This window comes from Homo sapiens, chromosome 6 (genome assembly GCF_000001405.40).
Source record: "Homo sapiens chromosome 6, GRCh38.p14 Primary Assembly".
NCBI lineage: Eukaryota > Metazoa > Chordata > Mammalia > Primates > Hominidae > Homo > Homo sapiens.
The window spans coordinates 23,458,076-23,485,418 of record NC_000006.12 but is presented as its reverse complement, the minus strand read 5'-3'; the positions used below and the strand labels follow the sequence as shown (position 1 = coordinate 23,485,418).

Here is a 27,343-nt window from a genome sequence, read left to right as displayed (position 1 = left end):
GCACAGGTTATATGAACATATAAAATAAAATTTAGAAAATTTCAGAAAGTAACAGAGGAAGTATTTCCACCATTGAGATATAACTATTTTTATTTTGCTCCATTTTTTGTAACATTTTACTTCTTGCATACACACATTCAGATGTATGATGTATATATACTGTATATGCTGGTTTATTCACATAATATTATACAAAGAATGTTTTTCTGTTCTTATCTAATTAAATATTCACCGAAAATATATTTTTCAGAATAGCTGCATGCTCTTCAATCAATGCAGGATAAATATTGATTTCAATATGATTTCATAATTAGATTTTAAATCTTTTATTATTAATAATAACAGTGTGGTGGTTAGCATAATGTTTAAATCTGTGTCCCCACTAATTATTTAAGCCTAGACTTCAAATTAATTGGTCAATAAATAAAAATATTTTAAAACTACTATTCATATTACTAGGTATTTATCTATCGTAGAAATCCACATCCTGAATGGGTCTGATTGTTTATAAGATTAAAGGTAAATATTTTACAAGAATATTACATAAATGATATTATGTATATCTTTTATGTCTTTGCAAAAGGGCTCATACATTTACTATACAATTCTAACTACTGGACGAAGATACTTCAGTTTGCTCATCTGGAAAATAAAAGGCAAGGAGGGGGAAGGGAGTCATGAATTACATATTTTCCAAGTTCTCACCTATACTCACCAGTCTTTTAATTAATAAATTACAGAAATTAGTATGTAAGGATAAACTTATTTGTTGATTTTGATTTGTTATTACTAATATGCAGGTACTTTTTTTCTAAATTTGTTGAATGAAGGCAAATTGTAATATAGCTTTTATAGCTATTTCAGTGAGCATGTAATTTTCTTACTCTCATGAAATCTATTATGAGTTTAAAAAACATTTAACGGTTAGTTTGATTTTTAATAAAATTGATATATTTTAAAAATAGGACTTTAATTAGCATAAGAAGACCAACTTATTCCAGAATCAAAATGGTGTGATATACAGGGAAGAGATCTTTAAATCAATATTAGAAATCTTTTTTCTGTATTCCTTTTTATAGCATAAATGCTGAACTCTGATTCTGTTATTTTCAATACTTAGTAAAATTAAGAATCCAGGAAACATTTCCTACTGTGTTCTCTGTATAATATTTAGAAGCTCTTAATATTAAGACTGTTCAATTATATTTTTATCATCAAATATTAACTTATACATCTTGATTTTGTCTTACATACATTTATAAAAACACATTGTTACCTATAGTGAGTCATTTTAGACATATATGACTCAGGAGGATGACAGAATAACTAAAGAGTGAATAAGAAAGGCAAGATCTGGAATACAGGGTCAAGGAATTTATGAGAATATTGGATTTGTCTACCTGGTAATATAGCTCAGGATAAAATGAAAATCTAGTTACACTCCCAAATAGTAAATACCTAGAAACTGATGCCTAGAGTTTAAAATTCATTACTAAATGTATTTAATAAATAAATGAATACATTATTGTGGGATTTTTATTCAAACATTTCAAACCAACTTACTCTTCATATAGACTTTTTTTTGCTAAGGGGCATTCTTTTATAAAAAGGTATTAATATTATTTATAAGTTGGCCTCTCCAGAGCACAATTAAGGGGCATTCTGAAATTATGGAAATCATGTTTTGAGGAGAGTTTAGAGTCTGTTGTGACACTCTGTTCTTCAATTCTTGTTTGCATTATTTGCATAGACTGTTCTCTTAGCATTTCTTTCACTCTCCATATATTCTTTAAGAGGGAGATCCTTGGGGACTATTAGTGAGGCACAAAAGGTACTGCATATATTAAACAAAGCTTTCATTGCTGGGAAGAAATTGTACATTGTCCCACAGCTGCCTAACAGTAGAATCAAAAAAGAAAGAAAAAACACAACATGTTATAGAAAAAAAATATTTGGACTTCTCAGGAAAACATGCTCCCCTATGAGGAACAAATTGCTTCATAACTTTTATTGTGGTTCCCCAGTCAGATAAGTGTTCTGAAAGTTTTTAAATTCAGTTGATTTTAGTGCAATGAACATTTCTTGACTGCCTGCTAGGGTATTAGACTGTGGATAGGAGCTATTAAGACACAGATGTGCAACATAGTCCTGCCCTCATGAAACTTTAGGTAAGGGGCCAGAAGAGAAAGAAGAAGAGGTATAGGAATCTTTACCATCCATTAGGAGAAATGCAATGAAAAGCACAAAGAAATGAAGTAGTACAAAGGAAAAGGATGGATTAAAGAAGGTTCTCAAAAGGAACTAAGACCTGAGCCAATTCTGCAGGATGTTGAAACAAAAAGGACTTGCCAAACGGATGGATGTGAGTAGAAGACATTTCAAATGAGAGGGCCAGAATGTATACTAGCAAAGAGATAAAATAACACATTTTTGTTTTGTTTTGTTTTGTTTTTGTTTTTTTTTAGAAAAGAAAACACAAGTATTTTACTGTGGAGCATAAAGTGTGATGGAAAAGTTAGTTGAAAATAAAACTGGGAAAAATAATTGCATGTGTTACCACCAAAAGCTATGAGTGTTGTGCTGGCAGCTTGGACTTTGCCACAGGGACTATGAGGAGCCACTAAAAATGGGAGTAATTAAGGGAGTAATTAAGTCCATATCTTGTAGAACCAAAAGTAGAGAGACTTTTAACGAGGTTATATATACATTGATAGTTGTACCGATGGATTAAGGGATTATGAACTTGTAACAACATACAGATTCAAAGAATATGTAAGAGATAAGGACAGAAGGGACTGATGATTGCTCATTGCATGTAAGGAAGATTGAAAAGGCAACACTGTCTTTCAGATTTATGACTTGGGTGATTGGATGTATAATAATGGTGACAACCAAAGTAGGAAATAGAGGACAAAGCTCAGCTCTGCAGGGCATGGATAATAACTTCAGTTTTGAATATCTGCACATTGTGATGTGCATTCACATTCATGAGGAGATTTCTAATAGATATATATGAAGCTCGCAGAATCTGCAGGTCTAGATTTAAGTGATGGATGTAAGTATTGTTAAAAATCTAAAAATTCACAGTAAACTCTAATTGTGTTTTCTTAGACTCTGTGTTTATCTATTTGGCATCCGTTAACTATAGAGCCAAAGAGAGCCAAATGGATGAAGTTGTTTACAACTCCTGGGATCCAGAGCCCGTATGCTGAAACACTTCTTTACCTAAGTCTCACATACCAAGCCAATATTTATTTCCCTTGGCCTAAATCAACCCAAGTACTGGTGCCCAAAGACTAGAGACAGCCCCTATGCCTTAAGGCCCTCCAGAATTTTTTAAACTGCCTATCCAAAGCCATTCCCCTGCCCTGTCTTGCCTTTTCCTATGGAGAACCCAATAAATGCTTTAGCCTGGGCTTTCCTTTTCCTCTTGCTTCTGCCACCTGATGAAACCTGGTGCTTCCTTCCCCATGTGGCCTTTGTGGCCTGGCATGCTCCCTTCTCTTGTGAAATGTAAGAAGTAAATTCTTCTTTCAAAGGCAGTTGTCTCCACGTCTGTTACCTTACCATATCTGATTTAAAAAAACCCAGGTATAAATCTTGAAGTGAGCAGTCAGTGAGAAGCAAACATGGGCTAATCATCAAATCCTGGACAATGGGGGGCATCAGGTCATCAAACTGATGACAAGACAAAGAGCAGGACAGCTAGGCCTCCTTAGCATTATTATTTTCAAGCAGAGGTCAGTTTTAACCACATCTGTTAAAATAAGAACTGAGAAAGTGTTCATTGACTTGCAAAATAAAGTTATTATTAATGAATTTAGCATGCATTTCATGGACATAATAGGATCCAAAGCCAGATTAGAAATTATCTATGGATATCAGATTTTCCTGCAACCTTTCTTTTCTCAGATAAAACTCACTGTAAGCTCTGAAATCTCATCTTTAAAAACAGGGCTCTGAATAGATAATTTGTACTCTTTAGAGTTCTTAGGTAAATGTACTATATATAATATATGTCCTGTAGACATATATTTGGAAACAGAATTTCTCAGCAACAGTATGATGAGTAGAGAAAGAAAAAAAAACACATGAGCTGAATCATAGACATAAGTCCTTTTTGAAAGCATTGAATGCATGAGTACATTATCACTAAACATGGAGTCAAATTCAATAGACTTAGTGAAATTGCACATATTTATAGGTATGGACAAAATTTAGCAATATAAAGTTCCTAACTTTAGAGAGAGGAAATAGTTTGAAAAAGTTAACTTGCTGAAGGACTCATAATGCTTTTCCCGTACTACATGGCACATGGCCTTTGATTTGTTCCCCATTAATTCCTTTATCCAGTCTGCTCCCTTCATAAAAGATGCCTAACATTACTCTGTAATTATATAATATGATAAACTAGTTTTTACTCAATATTCCATTAGCCAAAAGCTTTTATTTTTCCTTCAGAACACAAAACAGTCCTCTCTCTCTCTTTTTTTTAAATGACCATGACATTGTCCTGCTTCTTTGACTGCGGCTCAAGCCGTGTGGGCAGTGAAGTAAAGACATGCAGAATTCTCTCTCTCTCTTTTTTTTTTATATCAAGACATGATTCCTCTTTGTGGCCCAGGCTAGAGTGCAGTGGTGTGATGTTGGCTCACTGAAGCCTCAACCTCCCACCTCAAGTGATGCTCCCATGTCAGCCTCCCAAGGAGCTAGGACTACAGGCTTGTGCCACCACCATGCCCGTTTAATTTTTGTAGGTGTGTGTGTGTTGGTTTTTTGCTTGTTTGTTTGTTTTTGTACTTTTTGTAGAGAGGGGGTTTTGCCATGTTGCCCAAGCTGGTCTTGAACCCCTGGGCTAAAGTGATCCACCTGCCTCTGCCTCCCAAAGTGCTGGGATCACAGGTGTGAGCCACTGTACTCGTCGCATAATTCTTTTATTGATGATGGTGGTGATGGAAACCTTTACCTGGAGTAGGAATAGACAGATAATTGATCTCAGCGTCTGCCCCCATTTCCCACCAATCACAAATAGACCCGCACACAGAAAGAATTTTGGATCTTATCTTAAATTTTAAAAGTTAAATAAATCAAAAACAGTCATTGATACTTATTTCAGAGATTATATATTTTTATGCCTCCCTTCAAAAAATCTATGTTAACTACTACAAATGGTTCATTTCTTCATAAGCAGACATTGGGACAAAAACACTTTCTGAAAAGAAATTTTACTGGCATTCTTTCCTTCTTTTCTTGAAAACCTGTCTCTACTGCAACACTTAATTCTTAAGTTCTTTCCTCAGCTTAGTGGAAGTAAATAGCTATTGATTACAGTTGCTGCAAACAGTCTGGGAAGTGAAGCTAAACCTGGCCCAGAGAAAAAAGACTGTATTTGTCAAATGGAAACACATTACTTCTTGGTTGGATTTCAATCAGAGAATTGTTTCTTGAGTCCTTATAAATGCTTTGAAAATGCTCTGAAGCCACAGCAAGGTTGTACAAGTGTTCTGCTATGGGATGTGTTTCCTCATCCAGTATAAAAGGAAAGATAAAAGAGAGAGTGGGGAAGAAAGAAAGAAGAAAGCTAGGAAAGGAAGAAGGGGAGAATTCAAGAAGGAGGAGAAGAGAGGAGAACTTCACCCTCAAGCATTAGTGATGCACTTGTGTGTACTTTAAATCAACTGAGTAGCAACCTGTGTTATTTTCATCTACTTTGTATGTTTAGTCATCTTTAAATTTTATTTTGAACTCAATTCAGACTTACAGAAAAGTTGCAAAAATGATACAGTTTCCCTCATGGAGCTTCTACTAATGCCATCATTGTACATAACCATAGTATGATGATCAGAATCAAGAAATTAACACTGGTACAGTACTATTAACTAAATTGACTTCTATATTTGAATTTCACTAAGTTTTCTTCTACTGTCCTTTCAGTTCCAGGATGCTATCCAGGATGTTACCTTGGGATTGGTTGTTACTTCCCCTTAGTCTTCTGCAATCTGTAAGAGTTTCTCAATCTTTCCTCCTCTTCCACAGCCTTCACCCTTTTAAAGATCATTGACTGGTTGTTTCAAGTGTTCCTTAACTTGGAGTTAACTTAAATTGAAGTTAATTTAAATAAATTTGAACAGGTTTTTTATTGCATGGCTGAAATACACAAATCATTTTTACTTTTTCCTAATTTGGATTTGGGCAGCATTTTCTAGTCATTGAGCTAAAGTCATGCATCTTTGGCAAGAATATCACAGAGATGTGTGGGCCCTTCTCAGTGTATCATATCATGGGATCCATGATGTTCACGTTTTATTATTGGTAACATTAACTTTGATTACTTGGCAAAGGTAGTTTCTACTGTTTTTTCCGACTATAAAAGTACTCTTCTACCCTATGTAGTTAATAAATAACTTGGGGAAGACCCTTTGAGAATATACAAATTCTGTTTCTCCTTAAACTTTTTCTCATTGAATTCAGCACTCCTTAGTCGACCTTGTCTGTGACAGTTATTATGTTTCCTCTTTGCTTCTATCTTTTTTCATTAAAATTCTACTCTGAGGAAGAATTGTCCCTTCTCTCTTATTTATTAATTATATATTTTAAGTTTGGTCTATGGATTATAATCAAATGCTATTCATATTTATATTGTTGCTCAAGTTCCTCCAGCAGGTTGGGTCCTTTTTCTTTTATCAAGCCCTCATCTTTTTTGAATGCTTATTTGATTTCTGATACCATATAATATTCCAGGCTCATCTTGTATGTTCCCTGCCCCAGTCCTGGCTTCAATCATTTCTTCAAAAAGTCCTAGTTCCTTTCATTGGGGAATGGTGTTTAGAAAGTTAAAATTCGGTGCTAGGTCTACCCACTGCTATTGCGGTGTCATTGTTTGCAGGCTCTGCAGCAGACAGAGCTGGGAAATTTACATATGTATACTAACTGGATTAGTTTTCAAGGGCTGCCACAGCAAATGACTATGAATCTTGTAGCTTAAAGCAACATAAATTTATTCTGTCATAGTTCTGGAGACCAAAAACCTGCAATATTAAACCAACCTTGTATTCTTGGCATAAATCTCACTTGACCATAGTATATTATTATTATTATTAATGTATTACTGATCTGTGATCAGAATTTAAAAATTCATATTAATGAGTAATATTAGTCTCAAGTTTTCTTTCTTTGTGCTGTCTTTATCTGGTTTAATTATCAGTTATTCTTCAAAAAAAGAGAAAGGAATTAGGTAGTTTTCCTTCATTTTCAATGCTCTAGAATAATTTATAGAGTATTGGGAATATCTAGTCTGAAGAACATGGTAGAGTTCTCCTGTGAAACCATCTAACTATCTGGTGCTTTTTGTAACTTTTTGTCTTTTTACTTATTTTCTGTGAATTTTATCTATCTTAAAACGAGAGCAGTGTATTAAAGCCTCCTATTAGCAAGACAGGGACAAGGAAGTTATGACAGGTACTCACTTTGATGCAAAATTTAATGGTGCACCAAAAAACCTATTTATCAAGATAAATACTATTTTAATGCAGTACTTACAAAAGTTAAATAAGTATACTATAAGCCTATGGGACAGCATCCTGTTTATATAAAAAGTTTATTGGAATCTGGGCCAAGATTGCAGTGAGATGAGTGAAGCAGAGTTGTGTAAGTGAAGGGACAGATCCTGTGTTTATTTACAATTTTATATTTAGTCATCATGGATTTTTTTTGAATCGACATTTATTGAACTCTACTACACTCTCGCTTGCCTCACCCTAATCTAGCTAGGTCTCCTAGTCCATATATCTTCGGCACCTCCTGCAGTTTTTGCTTCATAAAGGTTGAAGCCTTGCTATTTATTTTTTTATATCTTCCCTTTTAAGACACATACTTTGAAATCCCTTCTATGCGGTGCTTGGTTTGATCTGCTCAGTTATTTGATTTTCCTCTCAGATTTACAGTGGGTTTATTTTTTCTGTCTGTCTTAGTCACTTCGTACTGCTACAGCAAAATAGCATAGACTGAGTGGCTTAAACAGGGAACATTTATTTCTCACAATTCTGGGGACTGGGAAGTCCAAGATCAAGGCACTGGCATGGTTGAGTTCTGGTGAGAGTCTTCTTTTTGGCTTATAGATGGCTGTTTCCTTATTGTGTCCACACATGGTAGAGAAAGGAAGAGGGAGTAATCTCTCTCTTTCTCTTGATAGAAGAGAACTGATCCCATCATGAGAACTCTATCCTCATGACCTCATCTAAACTGAATTACCTCCCAATGGCCCACTTCCTAATACTATCACATTTGATTATGTCTTCAACATATACATTTCGGGAGGACACACTCAATCCGTAACATTGATGCTACCAACTCACACTCAGGCCCTCTTAGCTAGTGTTCCTGTTCTGAAGTCTTTAGGTTTTTTCCTGGTCTATGCTTGCTGGTCACACAGAGGGCAGACAGAAGACTGAGCATGTGAGACTGCTTTGGCCCTTGTATTTATTTACTTTTCTTTTTTATATGCAATTATTTTGCTCTTTTTGTTTTCTATGTTTTCAAGTAACTTGGGGAAATGTAGTTTAGCTTTGAATTTTCATAGATGTGAAGTTATTTCATATTGTTGAGGAAGAGATTTTGGGAAGTTGTCTGTCTGCTACCCACCTGCTTTTGCCTGCAGCTACTGGAAGTCTTCTAGCCATTATTATTAATTAATCCTTCATAATGGTATTGTATATTCCCAAGTGATATACAAACAAATGAACAGACAACTTAAAAATGTCAAGAATTTTAACCCGAAACAGCTAAAGCCAACTGAAAACTGTAACTGAAATCTCGGTACCTGAAACTGGGCAAAGCAGGTACAGTTGTCCCTATAAAAGAATGATAAGACATGCAGATATATATTTGATTTCCTGGATAAGGCATGTGTTTTAAAATTGAACATAGCTGTGTTTGAATTGCCAGATATAATTCTGGATACATTTTCTAACCGTCCTAAATCTTATATTTAAATTTTGTTTTAAATTTATGGGTACGTAGTAGGTTTATACATTGGGTACAGGAGATATTTTGGCACAGGCATGCAATGCATACTAATCACATCAGGGAAAATTGGGTATTCATCTCTTAGGTATTATTTATCCTTTGTGTTACAAATAATCCAATTACGCTTTTTAAGTTATTTTAAAATGTGCAATTAAATTATTATTGACGACAGTCCCCTATTGTGCTATCAAGTACTAGGTCTTATTCATTCTTTTTAACTTTTTTTGTAGCAATGAACCATCTCCGCTTTCCACTCACTCCCCGACTACTCTACACAGCCTCTGGTAACCATCCTTCCATTCTCTAGCTCCATGTGCTCAATTGTTTTGCTGAATCTCTTTTTTAAAATCTGTAAAATCACCAGGTTATTGGGAGAAATAATGGAATTAAGTTTTACAGGTATGTAGTAAGAGTGCCTAGCATAGTGGGTGTTCAAAAATGCTCCTTAACTTACGATTTTCTTTTACTTGTCCTGCCACTTTTATTGAAACAATATATAATCTTGAGGATTCCTTCTTTGTCACATGTTTATATAATCTTGAGGATTCCTTCTTTGTCATGTGTTTTTGTTGGAAATAAAGTCTTTTTCCCCATTTTAACACAAGTTTCTCATCATTCTCTCACTCTGCTAAATATTAAAGCACCAGTTTTCCTACAGTTTGGGATCCATAATTCTCAATGTATAGAATTAATTTTAGTTCTCATTATGAGGTTTTTACTGTACAAAATTGCATGTAAATATATGCAATCATCCCTTAAACTATTGATGCTAAATCTAGTTAGGCACTAGTTGAGATTTGTCATATCTAAAAGTTCTTTCCATTTTCTCTTATCATCTGCATGCTTTATCACTGGGCTAATAAAAAAATTTAGAAACTTACCTCACTGCATTTCATGCCTCTAGTCCAGCTGAGCTTAAGCCCTTTGTTAGGCAAGTCACTTTTCTGTTTTTTGTATGTTTTAGTTTTTCTTTAACTTTTTTTCCATTCAGTCAACTCAACTCTTTTTAATGCAACTCAAGTCAATTCAAATCAATTTAGTTATGTTTTAGACATTTCTGTTTCCATTTACAGAGCAAATGCTATAGACTGGGCACTGCTCTTTTCATTCAGAAAATAAAGTTGCTGTAAGAGCTAAAGTCTATTGGACTATCTACAGAAACACAAAATGGTATTGTCACACTAGCAAGTCAGACATGGTGCAATGGGATCAGAAAGGAAGATAATACCCAGGTTTTGGAGCAGGGTCAGTGAAGGTTTCAGAGAAGGGTTATTTTAGAGATGAACCTTGTAAAATGAGTAGGATTTTATAAAAAAAAAAGAAATGTTTTTTTGGTGGCGGTAGGAACTCCAATAAAGGTATTATTTCTAGAGATGACCTCAGGCTACTTATCAGCCAGTGTTTTTTAAACAGAGCCCTTGAAGGCCCAGATTTTCTCTGAAGACTTCAGAGGCTACCAAAAGGGCAATGCCTAAAGGGAAAGAGAGTTAAAAAGAGAGTTTGAAAACTGAATAAAGGTGATATAGACCAACCATTTACATTTCAAAAAAAGTCTACTACATCTTAAGTTCCAAAGACCTAGCTGATCTTTACCCTAATAAAAGAATTCCCTTTTTCTGAAATATCACTGTTATTATTTAGTGCATTCAGGCTTCATTTTCTTCCTTATTACTTTTACCATTTGTTTTACATCTGAGACCTGGTCCATTTGTCTTTCATTTATTGCTTACTTTTTGTTAATGCCCTACCTCCCAATCATTCCTCTTTCCCCACTGTCCATCATCTCCCTGCGTACCTGATATGTAAGAGCACTTTCAGTCACATAGGCTAATTGGATTGAGAAGGCATTGCTGGCATTAGGAAGGATATTAATGAGATGAGTTATTGTGAAAATTCTGCCTATAAAGTCGACATGTTCCGCTGCTTATTATAAACCTTCCTCATACCTTTTATTTTCCTTCTCATTAGTCTGTTCAAACAAAAATAATAAACCTTAGGAGGCTTTAGAGGAAGAACAACCCTGATTTCATCACGTCATTTTTCATCTAGATGTGAAGGCAAAGGGTGACTTTAGAAGCATCCAACTGAAAATGTAAGAGCTGCTGTCAGCCTTTCCTCCTGAAGGACTGGCAACAGCTTTCCTATCCCAACCAACTGGGTTCTAACTGGCTGAGAAATCACCTCTACTGTGTTAAGGCATGGACATTTAAGGGTAACATTTATTACAGCAGGTGGCATTACAAACCACCAGACACTAGAGACATATACCTAAGTGCCTTTAGACTTATATTCTTTCTTTTATGGTCCATGAAAAAGTCTTTAAGCATTTCTGGAAAGCTGTATTGCCAAAAAGACATAAACCAACATAGTGTTGAATAAAGATGATGAGGATATATTAAATAATAAGTTACAAGGAAGATGTTTCCTTGCTCATTTTATTGGGAATTAACCCCAAACAAATATCCACATGAACTGGGGCCTAGAAATGGGCTTTTACATAAAGAGATAAGAACAAATATTTACAATGCAGACTGCGACTCCTGGCAGTATGTCTATACAGGCAAGCAGAAAGGTCTGCCTGGAAGATACAAGCAGAATTGGAATAAACCATGGCAAATATATATTTTTTAAATTCAGAGAAAAAATGTGTTCTATTTATCCCTATAAATATCATTTCCAGTGGTCTTCATTCCTTTCAGTAGATCCCAGTGTCTGTTTATTACGATTTTGCTTTGGTCTGGAGAACTTCCTTTATCACTCTGTGAAGTATACATCTATTGGCAACACATTCCTTTAATTTCCATGTCTGCAAATGAATTTTCTGTTAATTTTTGAGGGATATTTTTGTTGGATATATAATTCTGAGTGGACATTATTTTCCCCCTCCTTAAGCACTTCAAAAATGTCATTCTACCATCTACAGATCCCTAGTGTTTTGATAAGGGAGTCAGTGATTATTTATCATGGCTCACCTGTAAATTATACATTGTTGGCTACTTTTAATACCTCTTTTTAAAAATCTTGGTTTCAGCGGTTTCAAGACAATATACCCTGGTGTGTTTTTCATTTTAGTTATCTGGATTGGAATTTAATGAACTTCTAAAATGTGTAAATCCATATCTCTCTCCAAATTTGAAAGTTTGGGGTTATTACTACTTTAAGTATTTTTTCTGCCCTATTCTTTTTTCTCTTTCTTCTTGGGACTCAAATTATGCACATATTAGATGTTTTGCTGTTATTCTGCAGGTTCCTAAGTTTCATTTTCTTTAAGTTTTTTTCTCCAATTTTTAAAAATCTTCTTTTCTAAAATGCATGCTTTTACTTTTTTTCTTGCCTTATATTATTAGCTAGGTCCTTGAGTACGATATTGAATAGAAGTGGTATGAGTAGATTCTCTTCTCTTTTTCCTAATGTTAGGAGGAAATATTAGGTCTTTTACCATTAAATATGGTATTAGTTGAATTTTTTTCATAGATGTCCTTTATCAAGTTGAGGATGTTACTTTTAATTCCTAGTTTGCAGACCATATATATATATATATTATATATACACACTTTATGAATAAATATGTATTTTATATATATATAAATATATGTAAAAGCTCTATAATTCTCATGAGCTTTTTACTGTATAAAAATTACATACAAATATATCCAATCATCAGCTTACTGCTGTTGCTGAATAGAGTTAGGAACTAATTGCGATTTGTGATATTTAAAAATTCTTTCTATTTTCTCTTATCATCTGAGTGCTTCATCACTGAGCTAATATAAAAATTCAGAAACCTGGCAGGCACGGTGGCACACGCCTGTAATCCCAGCACTTTGGGTGGCTGAGGCGTGCAGATCATCTGAGGTCAGGAGTTCGAGACCAGCCTGGGCAACATGGTGAAACCCCATCTCTACTAAAAATACAAAAAAATTAGCCAGGCATGGTGGTGGGTGCCTGTATTCCCAGCTACTCGGGAGGCTGAGGCAGGAGAATCACTTGAACCTGGGAGGCAGAGGTTGCAGTGAGCCGAGATCATGCCATCGCACTCCAGCCTGGGTGACAAGAGCTAAACTCTGTCTCAAAAAAATAAAATAAAATAAAATAAAATAAATTCAGAAACTTAACTCACTGAAATTCCATACTCCTTCTACTTCACCTGAGTTTAATCCCATTGTTAAGCAAGTCATTTTGTTTTATTTTTAGTTTTTCTTTAAATTTTGTTCCATTCAGTCAACTCAACTCTACTCAGTGCAACTCAGGTCAATTCAAATTAATTCAATTAAGTTTTAGACATTAATTCAATTAAGTTTTAGACATTCCAAAACTGACATTGGATTTGGTAAATTATTCTGTGCATCTGTGTAAGTGATTATATGACTTTTCTTGTTTAGTTTGTTAATATGGTGAATTGCGGTGATTGAGTTCCTAATGTTAGATGATCCTTGACTTCTAATATAGACTCCACTTAATCAAGACATATTCTACTTGTATAGATTTTTGGATTAGATTTTCTAAAATTTGTTTAGAATTTTTACATCCATGCTTATGAGGGATATTATTCTGTGGCTTACTTTTTAAATAATGTCTTCATTTGGTTTATGTCTCAGGGTAATGTAAGCATCATAGAATGAGGTGGGAAATATAAATTTCAGTTTTTCTGAGAGTTTGTATGCAATTGGTAGCATTTCTTCCTTTAATGTTTGTTTACCCGGAAAGCCATCTGGACCTGCAGCTTCTCTGTGGAAAGAATTTTAAACACAAATTAAAATTCTTTAGAATATATAGATAGGGCTATTCAGGTTACTTGTTTCTTCTTGAGTAAGCTTTAGTAGTTTCTTTCTTTCAAGGAATTTGTGCATTTCATCTAAGATGTCAAATTCATAAGTATAAATTTGTTCATTTTTTTATTCTTTTAAATCCATATACTGTAGAGATGACACCTCTCTCAGTTCTTTTTTTTTTATTATACTTTAAGTTTTAGGGTACATGTGCACATTGTGCAGGTTAGTTACATATGTATACATGTGCCATGCTGGTGCGCTGCACCTCTCTCAGTTCTGATATTGGTAATTTGTCTATTTTTTTCTCTTCATCTGTTTTGTTAGAGGTTTATTAATGTTCTCAACCAACTTTTTAGCTTTCATCTATTTTCTTTATTGTTTTTCTATTATCTATTACAGTGATTCCTACTCTGATGTGTATTACTTCAGTTTTCCCCCTTATTTTGGGTTTCATTTATTCTACTTTTCTAGTTTCTTAAGATGGAACCTAAGAATCATTCATTTGAGACTTTTGATTTCTTCATAAACCTTATACTTTGGGTGAGGGAATCAGACAATTAGAAATAACCACAAAGCATGAGTTAAATAGCATGTCAGAAGGTTAGACATGCTGTGAGAAAAAAGAAAATGACATAGAAGATGGTTAGGATTGACTGAAAGTGTAGATGTTAGTTGGATGGTTGCAATTTTGAATAGAGTGCTCAGTGTAAGCCTCACTGAAAGGTGGCTTTCAGGAAAAGACTTGGAGCTGAGTTAGAGAATTAGCCTTGCACATTTCCGTAGGAAGAACTTTCCAGTAAAAGGAAAGAATCACTGCAAAGGCTCTAAAATGACTGAGGTGCTGGAGCAAAAGCAAGGAGGCCAATACTGTCAGTGAGTAAGGAATGAACTAGAGTAGTCGGAAAAGAGCTTACAGTGTTCCGAGGGAGGGCCGTCTTACAGTATGGAATATGTGTTTTCTCCTTGGTAATATTCTAGCTGTCTTATTGTCCAAAAAGGAAAAAATCTTAACCCCAAATCTTAACCTCAAAAGGGAAAAAAATCTTAACCCCAAAAAGGAAAAAAAAAGAATACACATTGCGTAAAATTGGAAAATTAAAAGAAAAATGCCAAATATCTCTATTGACATTAACCACAAACTATTTATAGTTTTACCACTCACTTTATCTCCTCTCATTTTTACCATCCCTTCAGACTGAACCATAACCTTCACGTGGTATTTTAAAGGCTCAGCTTTCAAGGGTAAAAAATTGACTTCCTCGTTTAAAAGAAAAAAGAAATTGGATTTGGCCAGATTCCACTGACATGTATATGAGTTTTTTCTTGAATAAAATGGCAAAGATGTTCTTGGAAAAAATGCCTTAATAATTTCTTTTCAAGGATCTCATGAACATTTTCAAAGAAATAAATTGTGTTGTCAGAAAGAATGCAAAGATTTTTCTCACTGACTTAATAAAAATGGATGACACATTTAAAAATATTATCATGGTACACCTAAGTGTTGTTTTTCTCGTATTTTCTCCTTGGATATAGACCTTTTCAAGTTTTCAAGGTTTTATCATTGCCAGATAAGCTGGTATATGGAATAGGCATTGTGGCACTTTAATTATGGCCAGATTACAAAGAATTATTTTTAACTTTTGCTTCTGAGAAACTGCATGCCTTTTTAGATTTATATTCATCAATATACCCCTTCCGTTCTTGAAGTGTCTTATGATGTCATTTATAACTCTGCTCAGGAAGCAATCGTGACAAAAAAACATTTTTTTAAATGATTGAAAAAGCAAGCAAATGTCTTCTGTCTTCTTCAGGTGGTTTTCCAAACCAATAGCTTAAGCAGACACATAAAAATGTTCACATTTGCAACAAGACTCTCTCTGTGGTCCACTGAGGCTGGCAGGCTCTTTGTCTTTTCCTACTTTCATGTCCAGTAGCACTAGTTTGCCCACTTTGTACTTATGTACAGTAAATACTGACTATGTACAGGGAAATACTGCTCTTGGAGTAAGTTAAAAAAACTGATTTGATTAATGAAAGAAAATCTGTAGTGACAATCACTAGAGTTTGTCACTAGGCCACTCTCATATAGCCCCATCCTCTTTCCCCACAACACTAGAAACTGTGACACGTGGAGTTGTAGAGGAAACTGGACAGGCAAAGTTAGCAATCAGTCATCTGAGTTCACAACAACAATGATAGTGATGGTGACAACCACAATTTAAAAAGCAATTTTACATTTAATATGGTTGAATTTTGTGAGAGATTGGCATATTGTTATAATAACGTCAGTAGTTATTTAATATTAATAAGCCTTACATTCAAATTTTGAAATTGTGCAAATCTCTCCAGATTAAAAATTCCATAAGCATCAGGAAATCTCAAAGATTTGGACCAAGTGAATTTTAAACTACGTTTTATGCAATCACAACATGTTAGCAAATCAGTAGAGTAACAGAAATAGAGAACACATTTGTCAGTATTAGTCTTACATTACCTGAGATATGAAGGAGGCAAGGTCCTCAGTAATGGGTATCTTGCATAGAATGCTATAACTTTGTTACACTGTCTCAACTATCTTTGAATGCTAAGATGGGTTCATCTTGCAGATAAGGTTATCTTATTATGGATAGGTTCACTTTGTGAATATGGTTATCTTCTTGTAGATAAGATAGGTTCATCTTGTGAATACTATGTCCATCTTGTGGAAAAGAACTTTGAAATGCACAGTGAATGAATAACTTGTATTAATATAAAATCATTCAGCCATTTAGTTATTGACATTAGGACTTGAACCTAGGTGTTCTGATTAAACCCCTGCTCTTTGTATTGTATCCTGACAATTTTTAAAATTGGGCACCCTTTTAGTCCCCCTCAAGTACTGAAAATGACCATTGTCTCCTCCTCTTGTTTTTTTGTCTGACTTTCCCATCCCAAATATTCACACCTGAGTTCAAGTCACATGTTAATGATAGATTTCAGAACTCGCGTAAAGAAGGTGGCCACATCTGATTATATACATCGATATGCTGCTGTCTGAAGAATCTTGTTTTAGGATTCAGTGTCTTTCAACATCAAAACAGGATAGCCTGAGATACACTTGGTATCTTCTTGTCGGCGTACCTTGTTCCATAGGCTATGCTATAACAAGAAATGTATGGGACCAGTGTTTGGTAGCAATTTCCAGCAGGGAATGTAAAGATGAAGACAAACAACTAGAGTGGATCTAGAAGGTAGTTCTCAAATATACTCCTCTGAGTCTCCAGATCTTCAGAAGAGTCCCCTCACCTCAGCATTCCATTCACCCTCAAAACTCTCCATTCTCCCTTAACCAAGGAAGTTTCTTATTCATTGTTTCATATAGCAAGCTTCCAGTGAGATTTATGTTTAATAGAAAGGTCTCTGGCTGAAGAAAATTTTGCAAGCCATGAGAGGACAGTTGAGGAGTGGGGTGAGTGGTCATTAAAGAATTCCTGGCGTCTTCTGGGCTGGGCTTGTACTTTCCACTTGACCAACCCATGCTCTAGTATTAGATCCCTTCCTGTCTCTTCACTTCGACCCTTAATTTCATAGGGAGGCGAGAAAATATGAAAAGGCTTTACCTGAGATGAGGACTTTTAATCCAAAGGCATATAACTAGTTTTAATAGTCATCGGGTACTAAACTCATTTTGATTCTGAGAACTTCGTAAGTATCTAGGTTAGATAATGAGAATGGTGGTTCTGCCCTTTTAAAGTACACCATTGCTTTGAAACCATTATGAATAACTTCTAAAAGCATAATTTTCAAGCATCCAAGTACATGATGGAAAAAAACCCCATAACCTGTCAATGCTTCGCAATGATATCACTGCTCGATATACTAATGGAGCTAATTACCACACAGTTGTTGTATGAGACCTCTAGTCTATTAACATCCTACATTAGTCACCCTGAGTAAAGACAATATCTGGTCTTTTGCTTTTTTTTTTTTTTAAATAATGGCAAGGATCACAGAGTAAGGTGCAAAATCGTTATGGTAGCTCTGGTGCTTTGTGAGGGTTGCAGGCTGTTCTTTTTACTCTTCATTATCCAGTACGTCATCTTTGTGGGCATCATCTCAAAGTTTATTTCATTCAGAAGTATTGCAGGGCATTCTGATTTGACCATATTAGAATTGCCCATCCTCCCTTTACATCCTCAATTCTATCTGGTTCCTCCTTGTAAGCTTGACATGCTTCATTTGGTATTGATGAGAGCTATTTCTGCTATAATGTTTTCTACCCCTTTCCCAAAGCTTCTTTGATGCCAAATGTATGTTAGGAAGCAATACAAATCCTAGTCAATAGTTAATTCTTCTTTTTTCTTTCTAATGACATTACTTTCATGGATACACACTGGCAAGGATATTTAGAATTTTATGCTTTCCTTTTTATAAAACTACATACTGTCTTTCTAAACTCATTTTCCCTGTGAATATATATATATGCTGCCAGAAATTATATTTAAACGACTTGCTTATTGAAGTAGTTACTGCAATTTTCATGCTTTCAATGTGAAGGCATTTTAGATTTGGTGTATTTAAGGGTGTAAAAGCAATGAGAATGCTCTCTCTCTACATCCCCACTCCCAGTTGCTGCCTCAAAATTTGAAAACCACCTTCCTTCTTACATAAAAGGACAAAGAGGCTGGGTCAGCTACCTGAGCCTTGTGCTTAAATTGAAGTGTGATAATTCATGTCTTTTTTTCTTCTTCTTCTTCTTCTTGAAGATAACTGCTATTTTCACCACGGAGAGGAAAAAAAGGGGTTTTACTGTACATTTCTATAATGGAGCTAAAAGAGTTCAGCAGCCACTCTGAATTGAAAGGTCTAATTAGATTCTACTTTAATGTAAGATCTTGGCTTCAAGGTACTTAACTAAAAGAGAGAGGGCTTTACAAGAGGAAGCTATAAAATGTTTAAACATAAGCATCTTAAGCATATAACTAGGAAATGAAATACAATGCACCATATAAACTGGGGATTTTCTAATCCATTCCCAAAACTATCTTTTGTGCCAGCTTCCATTCAATGTATTTCCTATTCTCATAAAGGAAGTGGTGAATAAAAGGAAGGTGAACTCTGAGAGAAAAGATCCCAGATAGATCTCCGTATTTAAAATACAAGGAAGATGTTCTAATACCATTACTTATGCAAAGAGATCATGGCTTCTCCTGCTTCTTCTGAAGGGTAATATTCCCATATTTTATTATAGATGAAAGATAGGGAAGGTCATTTTTATTTTTATTTTCTAATTTTTCCAGACTGGCAAAATAGAAATTGTTAATGAATTTACCAGAATTAAGTAATAGTAAGCAGTGTATTATTATTATTCAGTTATCCACATGGAATACTGAGATGAATGTTTCTGAAATGTTATCTGCATATTGAGCTTCACAACTTGAATTATTCAATGATTCTGTGATTATATGCCCTGAAATCCTAATTCTTTAAGACCTTTTGTGAATTGGGACTTTGCAGAGGCAGGTGAAACCTGTAACTCCTCCATTTATCTCAGCCATTTAGTTAAAACAGCTGCCTGTCAATGACAGGTTAAGCTCAAGGGAAAAAGAAATTTCTTAGACATGAGCTCCAGAATCTGGAATTCTCTTCTACCCGAGGATTACTTTTGTAATTGAAAAACCTTTATGAGCCCTTCAACTCAGCAATTTTATAAGCTTGCCTGTATTATTCTTTTGCTTTCTCCCATCTAAAAACATCTAGTGATTTTTACTGTGATTTTAATAGGAACAAGTTTTTTTTTTTCCTGAGAAAACATGGTTTCTGGCCTCTGTGCTGTGTTATGCAAAATTAATGAGGGTTAATTTTTTCAAATAAGTAGAGCCTTAAAGGATGCTTTTAAATAAATGCAATGATGAAGAGGTTTCATTTGTTTATGCCTGCAACTTTTTTCTCTTAAAATAATATATTTGTTCAGGAACTTGAAGATGCTTTTCTAGCATTCAGGAAACTGAGTGACTGCTATGTGCCCAGCACTCCAGAAACAATAAAATTTAATACCAAACAAAGATAAATTGATACATCGATCCATTTAAAAATGGCTGGATGAGTTGAGACAGGCTAGTGTGATATTTTCTAAAAAGCAAATGAACTGAGTTAGGGCACTGGGCCCCACATTTTTTTTTTTTTTAGTGAAGTTACAAGTATATTACGGAGTTCCTGTATATTCAGCTGCCAGTTTTCACTGTTGTTAAAATTACTATGGTACATTTGTCCCAGTTAATGAATTAATGTTGATATATTATTATAACCGAAGTCCATGCTTTATTCAGATGTCACCATTTTTTCTCTATTTTTTTTTCCATTCCAGGATCCTGTCCAAGGTACCACATTGCATTTAGTCATCATGTTCCATTTAGTTCCTCTTTTAAAATAAGGATTGTTCACACTTACCTTGTTTTGGAAGATCTGACAGTTTTGTGAATTAATGGAGAAAAGCTACAGGCACCCACAAAGTGGAACCTCTTCATCACTGCATTTATTTAGAAGATCCCTTTAATGCCCTCTTGATTTGAAAAATTTAATCTCCAATGTCAGGTAGAATGTCCCTCATGTTTTTTTCTGATGTTTTTTCTCATGGTTAATGGGTTGGGGTTATGGGTTTGAGGCAGGAAGTTCACAGGGGAAAACTACTGTTCTATCGTATCATCAAAGGTACATGTTATCAATGTGATTTGTCAATGTTAATATTGACCAGTTGGGTGAAGTAGCATCTGTCATGTTTCTGCACTGTAAAGTTTCTTTTTCCCCCTCCTCCATACTGTACTTAGTGTGCAGTGCACTAAGTAGAGAGTTTTGTGTAAATACTTTGAGGGATGAACATTTACAAAAATTATTTGGCATTTCTCTGGGAGGTTTTGTGTACATCTTCATTGATAGAATTGTGTACATCTCCATTGACACAATACATTTCTGTCACTGACTTATATCAGTATTGACTCATGGATATTTACTGTATACTGTGGGTTATAATCCAATACCATATTATTTATTTTATTGATCAGATTGTTCTAGCTTGGACCATTGAGAGATATTTCCAGTGTTGCTTTGACACGCACCCATCATTGCGTTTTCTGAGCACTTCCATAATTTCTGGCACTACATAAAGCTTCAGGATCATCTTGTTTATTCTCTGTCCCAGCCCTGGCATTATCTATTTCTTCAAGGAGGCCTGGTTCCTTTTATTGATTCACTCTTTGTACTATTGTTAGTGGGTTATTACACAGGGTTATTGCAGCATCCACCATGGTAGTAATATATAAAATAGTTTCACTGCCCTAAAAATCCTTCATGTTTTGCATGTTTATCCAAAAGCTTCCCCAAACCTTGGTAACCTCTGACCTGTTTTACATTTTTATAGTTTTTGCCTTGGAACCCTGCAGTATATAGCCTTCTGGCTTTATTCACGTAGGAATACTCATTTAAGAGTCATCCATGACTTTATATGGCTTGATAGCTCATTTTTTATTATTATTATGCAGTATTCCATTGTATGGATATACCACAGTTTGTTTATCCACTCACTTATTGAAGAACATCTTGGTTGCTTCTAGTCTTTGACAATTATAAATAAAATTGAAAAAATATTCACATGCAGCGTTTTTGTTCTTGTGGATATAAGTTCTCAAATCGTTTTGAACTATCTAGAAGAATTATTGCTAGATTAAATATTAAGACTATGTTTAGCTTTGTAAGAAATTGAAAGTGTTTTCCAAAATTGCAGCATGAAAGTTCCTATTGTTCCTCATTTTTGCCAGCAATTAGTATTTTCATGTTCCCGTACCCAACCCCTTTTACCTATTCCATTAGGTGTGTAGTGGCATCTCATTGTTTTAATTTGTATTTCCCTAATGACAAATGGTATTGAGCATCTTTTCATATGTTATTTGCTATCTGTACACCTTCTGTTGTGAAGTATCTATCTGTTCCAATCATCTACTTACTTTTTCAATTTTGTCTTTGTTTCCATATTATTGAGTTTTAAAATTCTGTGTATATTCTAGACATAAATCCTTTATTCGCTTTGTGATTTGCAAATACATTGTCTCTGCCTGTGGCCTGTCTTTTCATTCTTTTGGTACTGAGTTTCACAGAGCAAATGTTTTTAATTTTAATGAAGTCCATTGAATCATTTTTATTTCATAGATCATGTTTTTGGTGTTGTATTTAAAAATTCATCACCAAGTCTAAGATCATGCAGCTTTTTTTCTAGAATTTTTATATTTTGCATTGTATAGTTGTGTCTTTGATCCACTTTTATTTAATTTTTGGGCAATTTTGAGGTCTTTGAGTTCTTTGTGTGTGTATGGACATCCAAGTGTTGCAGTATCATGTGATGAACAGATTATCATTATTTTATTGTATTGCCTTTGAACCTTTGTCAAAATCAGTTGGCTATATTTGTGTGAGTCTACTTCTGAGCTCTACACCCTACTCATCTACATATCTTTTTTTTTTTTGTCCAATACCACACTATCTTGATTCTGATAACTTTATAGTAAGTCATGAAATTCAGTAATGTAAACTTTGTTCTTTTTTAGAAGAATAATGGACCTAGGAGAAACTATTAGAGGACTTTTGCTTTTCCATATACATTTTACAATCAGTTGGTTGACATCTATAAAAAATTCTTAGGACTTTGTTTGAGACTGTTGAGTCTATAGACCAAATTAGGGAAAGTTAACATCTTAAAAATATTGCATCTTCTAATCCATGAATATGGAATATCTCTTCATTTATTTAGATATTTGATTTCTTTTACAAGTGTTTTCTGCATATAGATTCTATACATATATATATTTTAGATTTATGTAACTCTCATTTTCAGTGCTATTTCAAATAGTTTTTTAAATATTACATTCCAGTGGTTCATTATTGGTATATAAGAAAGAAAGCAATTAGATCTGAAGATTTACCTTTCATCCCACAACCTTGCTATACTTGCTTATTAGTCTCAGAAATGTCTTTTTCAGTAGATTCTGTAGGGTTATTACAAAGACCATCATCTCATCAGCAGGAGAAGATAGTTGTATTTCTTCTTGTTGCCTTACTGGCACTACCTATGGATTTTATTTTGAATTCGAATAGGAATAATAAGAGAGAACAGCTTTTCCTTGTTCTTGATGTTAATGGGAAAGTGTTCAACGTCTCATAAATATGCTGTTAGCTGTAGATTTTTAGTATATCCTCTTTATTACGTTAAGAACATTCCCTTTTGCTTCTAGTTTTGCATGCATTTTATTATGAGTTGGTCTTTCATTTTGTTGAATGCTCTTTATAAAAATCTATTGATACAATCATATTGTTTTTCTCAGTCTGTCATCTAATCGATTACATTGATTAATTTTTGAATGCTAAACCAGCCTTGCATTCCTGTTGTAAATTCCACTTGGTTATGAGGCATTGTCCTGTTTATATATTAATAGATTTGACTAGCTCGTATTTTGTTGAGGATTTTTATCTCTATATTCATTAAAAATTACTCTCTGGTTTTATTTTCTTGCAGTGTCTTTATTGGGTTTTGGTATTAGGGTAACACTGTCCTCATAAAATGAGTTTAAAGGTTTTCTTGCCTCTATTTTTTGACAAAAATTGTGTAAAATTAGTTTCTTATGTAAAAGTTTGGTAAAGTTTACCATCCAGCTGGACCAACTGTTTCCTTTTTTGTTTTTGGAAGATTTTTGACTACGATGTCACCTTCTTTAATAGACATAAAGCTATTCAGGTTATCTATTTCTTTTTGAGTAGAATTTTGTAGTTTGTGCCATCAGGTCATCAATTTATTTCATCTAAGTTATCAAATTTGTGTGTGTAAAATTTTTATAGTATTCTCTTACCTTTTAAATGTGCAGTGAATCAGTAGTAATTATCCCTCTCATTCATTCCTAATATGGTCGAGTATTCCTTTTTCTCTTATTCTTTGCTAGCCTGGCTGGAGATTTATCATTTTTATTCATCTTTTTGAAGAAACAGAATTTGAGTTAATTGATGTCCCCTACTCACTTTCTGTTTTCAATTTTATTGACTTCTGCTTTAAATTTTATTATTTTTTTCTTCAGCTCTCTTTAGGTTTGACCTGCTCTTTTTTATCTAGTTTCCTAAAATGGAAGCTGAGATTATTGTTTTTAATATTTCTTCTTTTCTAATATAATATATAATAAGTATTATAAATATATTATTAGCTGCATTCCACAAGTTTTGAGGCTACATTTTCATTTTCATTAAAATAAAAATTTTTTTTACGCTCTCCTGAGACTTTTTCTTTATTCCACGGGTTATTTAGAAGTGTGCTATCTAATTGCCAAATATATGGGAATATTCCAGCTGTCTTTCACTTCTTGATTTTTAGTTTAATTCTGCTGTGGCTTGAGAACGTACTCTGTATGATTTCTATGTTCTAAAAAAGTATGAATATGCATTTTGTGGACCAGAATGTTGTCTATCTTGATGAATGCTCCATGTGAGCTTAAGAAGAATGGATAATCTGCCACTGTTGAGTGGCGTATTCCATAATTGTCAATTAGATCAAGTTGATTGATGTGCTATTCAGGTCATCTATAATCTTACTGATTTTCTGCCTACTTGATCTTTCAGTAACTGACAAAAGAGTGTTGAAGCCTCCAAATATAAATCTGTGCCATTCGGCTATAATTCATTCTTATTATTTAAGAGGCCTGTTGGTGTTGAGGTAGGGTGTGGAATGGGGAAGGAGGACTTTATACTCTTCTTATTAGGACTCAATCTTTTAATAGGCCCGTGTCTCAGAAGTAAAGCCTTCAGAAGTATTTCTGTTCCTCTTCCAAGAGCATAGCTTTTATCCCCCGTTCTCTCACTCGCTTCCCTGGCCGTGGCATTCCCAATCTATTTACTTGAAGTCCTGTTCCAAACTAGAATGTCCTTCCCTGAACTAAGATAAGGTTTTACATTTGCCCTCTGCTGAATTCCTTACCTCTATAAACTAGGCTCTTATTAGGGGGTAGAATCTGTGTGGGTTTTAGGATTACTACTCATCCCTTCCCCAGCCTACACTAGGAGGAGTTCTTTCTCAGATCCGCATCATAAGGTCTTGAGAGATTTCTGTAACAAAAGCTCACATATGTGTGGGACCTCACTAAGACTGCTATTCCCAAGAATTTCTCACTCTTACACTAGTCTGAACTTGACCTCTCTCAATTCATCAAAATAGCAATTTAAGCATTCCTATCAGCTAGGGATTGCCGTGGCTTCTGCTCCAGACAGGCAAGCTTTAGGAGCTGTATCTCTATGGATGCATCTGTCTCTTTAGATTTCAGGGTGGTAGTGTGTTCTGTGACTACAGTCCTCAGATTTATCGAAGAAACATTATTGATTTTTAGTTAGGTTAGCTTTTTTTCTTGTTGCAAAGTTCAGGGTGACAACTTCCAAGCTGTTTATGTGTTGAACTCAAACTAAAAGCTCTGATCCATTCTTTTAAATAGCTATGTAGCCCAGGACTTATCATTTAACCTCTGAGCATCAGTTTCACCCTTTCTCTTGAAAAATAATGATGAATTATGGACTCTAAATTCCTACAAGCAAACATAATTGGATGCCAAACTGTTAATGGACATGGAGACCTAAAGATGGCCCTTTGAAGTCTGTCAGCAACATAGGTAGTTTACAGTCCCCAATAGTGTATAGAGATTTATCTTAACATGAGTAAGCTACTGTATTAAAACATCACCAGCTCTTTAGCATTGTTTGTGCTAATTAAATAATCTGTTATCAAATTTAGAATCTAAAGTGGAGTTTAACAGCTTGCTCTAATAATCAAAATTTACCAATCACCCATGAATTCACTCTTTCAACCTTACATTTTCACTCCCAACCAGTGTGGTACATTCAGAAGATTATGCTACCCTCATGATAAAATGAATAAGGTTACTGAAGAAAAAAAATGAACAAACAAAAAAGCCAAATGAGTTTTTCCTTGATTATTTATATGACAGAAGGGTTCAGTGACTTGACATGATTATTCTGGTAATCACTCATTTTCACAGATGCCTAAAATTATGGATTAATATATTAGAACAATGAAAAACTATATCAAAAAACAAGACTCATAAACAAAATAAAATATGTTGGTCTACATGATTGCAAGGCCTTTTAAATGATTCATTTAATATTATTTCAACAAAATTTTAAGCACGAGTATTTAGAAAGGTCGGAGTTAGTTATGGCAAGGTATAATTACATTTTTAAGTTGGCTATATCCATCAAATAATGACCTTCTCTAGCTCATACTCAAACTCAAAGAGAATTTGGAGTAACCTATGTTAAGTCTTTGGGACCAAATCATTTAGGGCTGCTTAGTGGTCTCTTAAAACCAAATAAGACTCTAGCAAAAGTTACCATTAGAGTCAGTGTTAGTAACCTACTAACAGAATGAAAAATAAAAATGACTCGATCATCTCCATAGATACAGAAAAAGCATTCAACAAAGTTCAATCTTCTTTCATTATAAAAAAAAAAACTGTCAACAAAATAGATATAGAAGATGATTTCTTCGACATAATAAAGTCCATTTATGAACAGGCCACTTCTGTTCAACATAGTACTAAAAGTACCAGCAAGCTCGGTCAGGCAAGAAAAAGAAAGAAAATGCATTCTAATTGGAAAGGAAGAAGTAATATTATTCCTGTCTTCAGATGACCTGATCCTATATGTCAAAAACTCTAAAGACTCAACAATTAGAACTAATAAATGAATTCAGTAAAGCAGCAGGATACAAAATCAACATGTAAAAATCAGTTGCATATCTTCATACCAACAGTGATCTATCTGGAAAAAACACCAAGAAAACAATCTCAATTGCAGTACCATAGAAAAAGTGTTTAGAAATAAATTTAACCAGGGAAATGAAAGATCTATACATGGAAAACTGTGAAGCATTGATGAAAGAAATTTATGTATGAAATTCTCTTACATAAATGAGAAAATATGTTTGTGGATTGGAAGAATTATATTGTTAAAATGGATCTAGAAAAAGGAAATACAGTTTTACCAATTTAGCACAACTGAGGTAATTCTATTGCATTTTCAGGTATTTTTTCATGCCTAGGATCTTAATATTGTTTATAATCATAATTTATACAAATCATATTCCCCCTCTTTCACTTAGTGGTAAATTAAAGGCATCTTTTCATGTTACTGTTTTTTCTTAATTTGCCTTAGATGCCTAAAAACCCATTCAAAGATCACTCCAGTTTACTAATAAGGTAACTAGAGAAATGGTTTCATACTTACAAATGAAGAACCACACTTGAGAAGTAACAGTGGGACGTGTTCTAATTAAAAGCTTGAAAATGGTCTCTTGTACATTTAAAATAACATTTATGGAGAGTAAATAAAGGATTAATAATCCTAGGTCAGAACTCAGGTAATGGCCAAGGCAAATAATTGCAGCTACAGTGATATTATCTGGATATGGAAACAGTCTTTGAATTACTGACCTGTGTCTTAAACAGAAAATGATTATCATTATGTTCTGGATC

The 27,343-nt window shown here is 34.2% G+C and overlaps 1 long non-coding RNA gene across 2 annotated transcripts in view; it reads left to right on the top strand.

Annotated features, from left to right (window-relative positions):
* LOC105374976 (uncharacterized) overlaps nucleotides 1-27,343 on the top strand; it is a 289,589-nt gene that overhangs the window by 140,916 nt on the left and 121,330 nt on the right. The window lies entirely within an intron of this gene.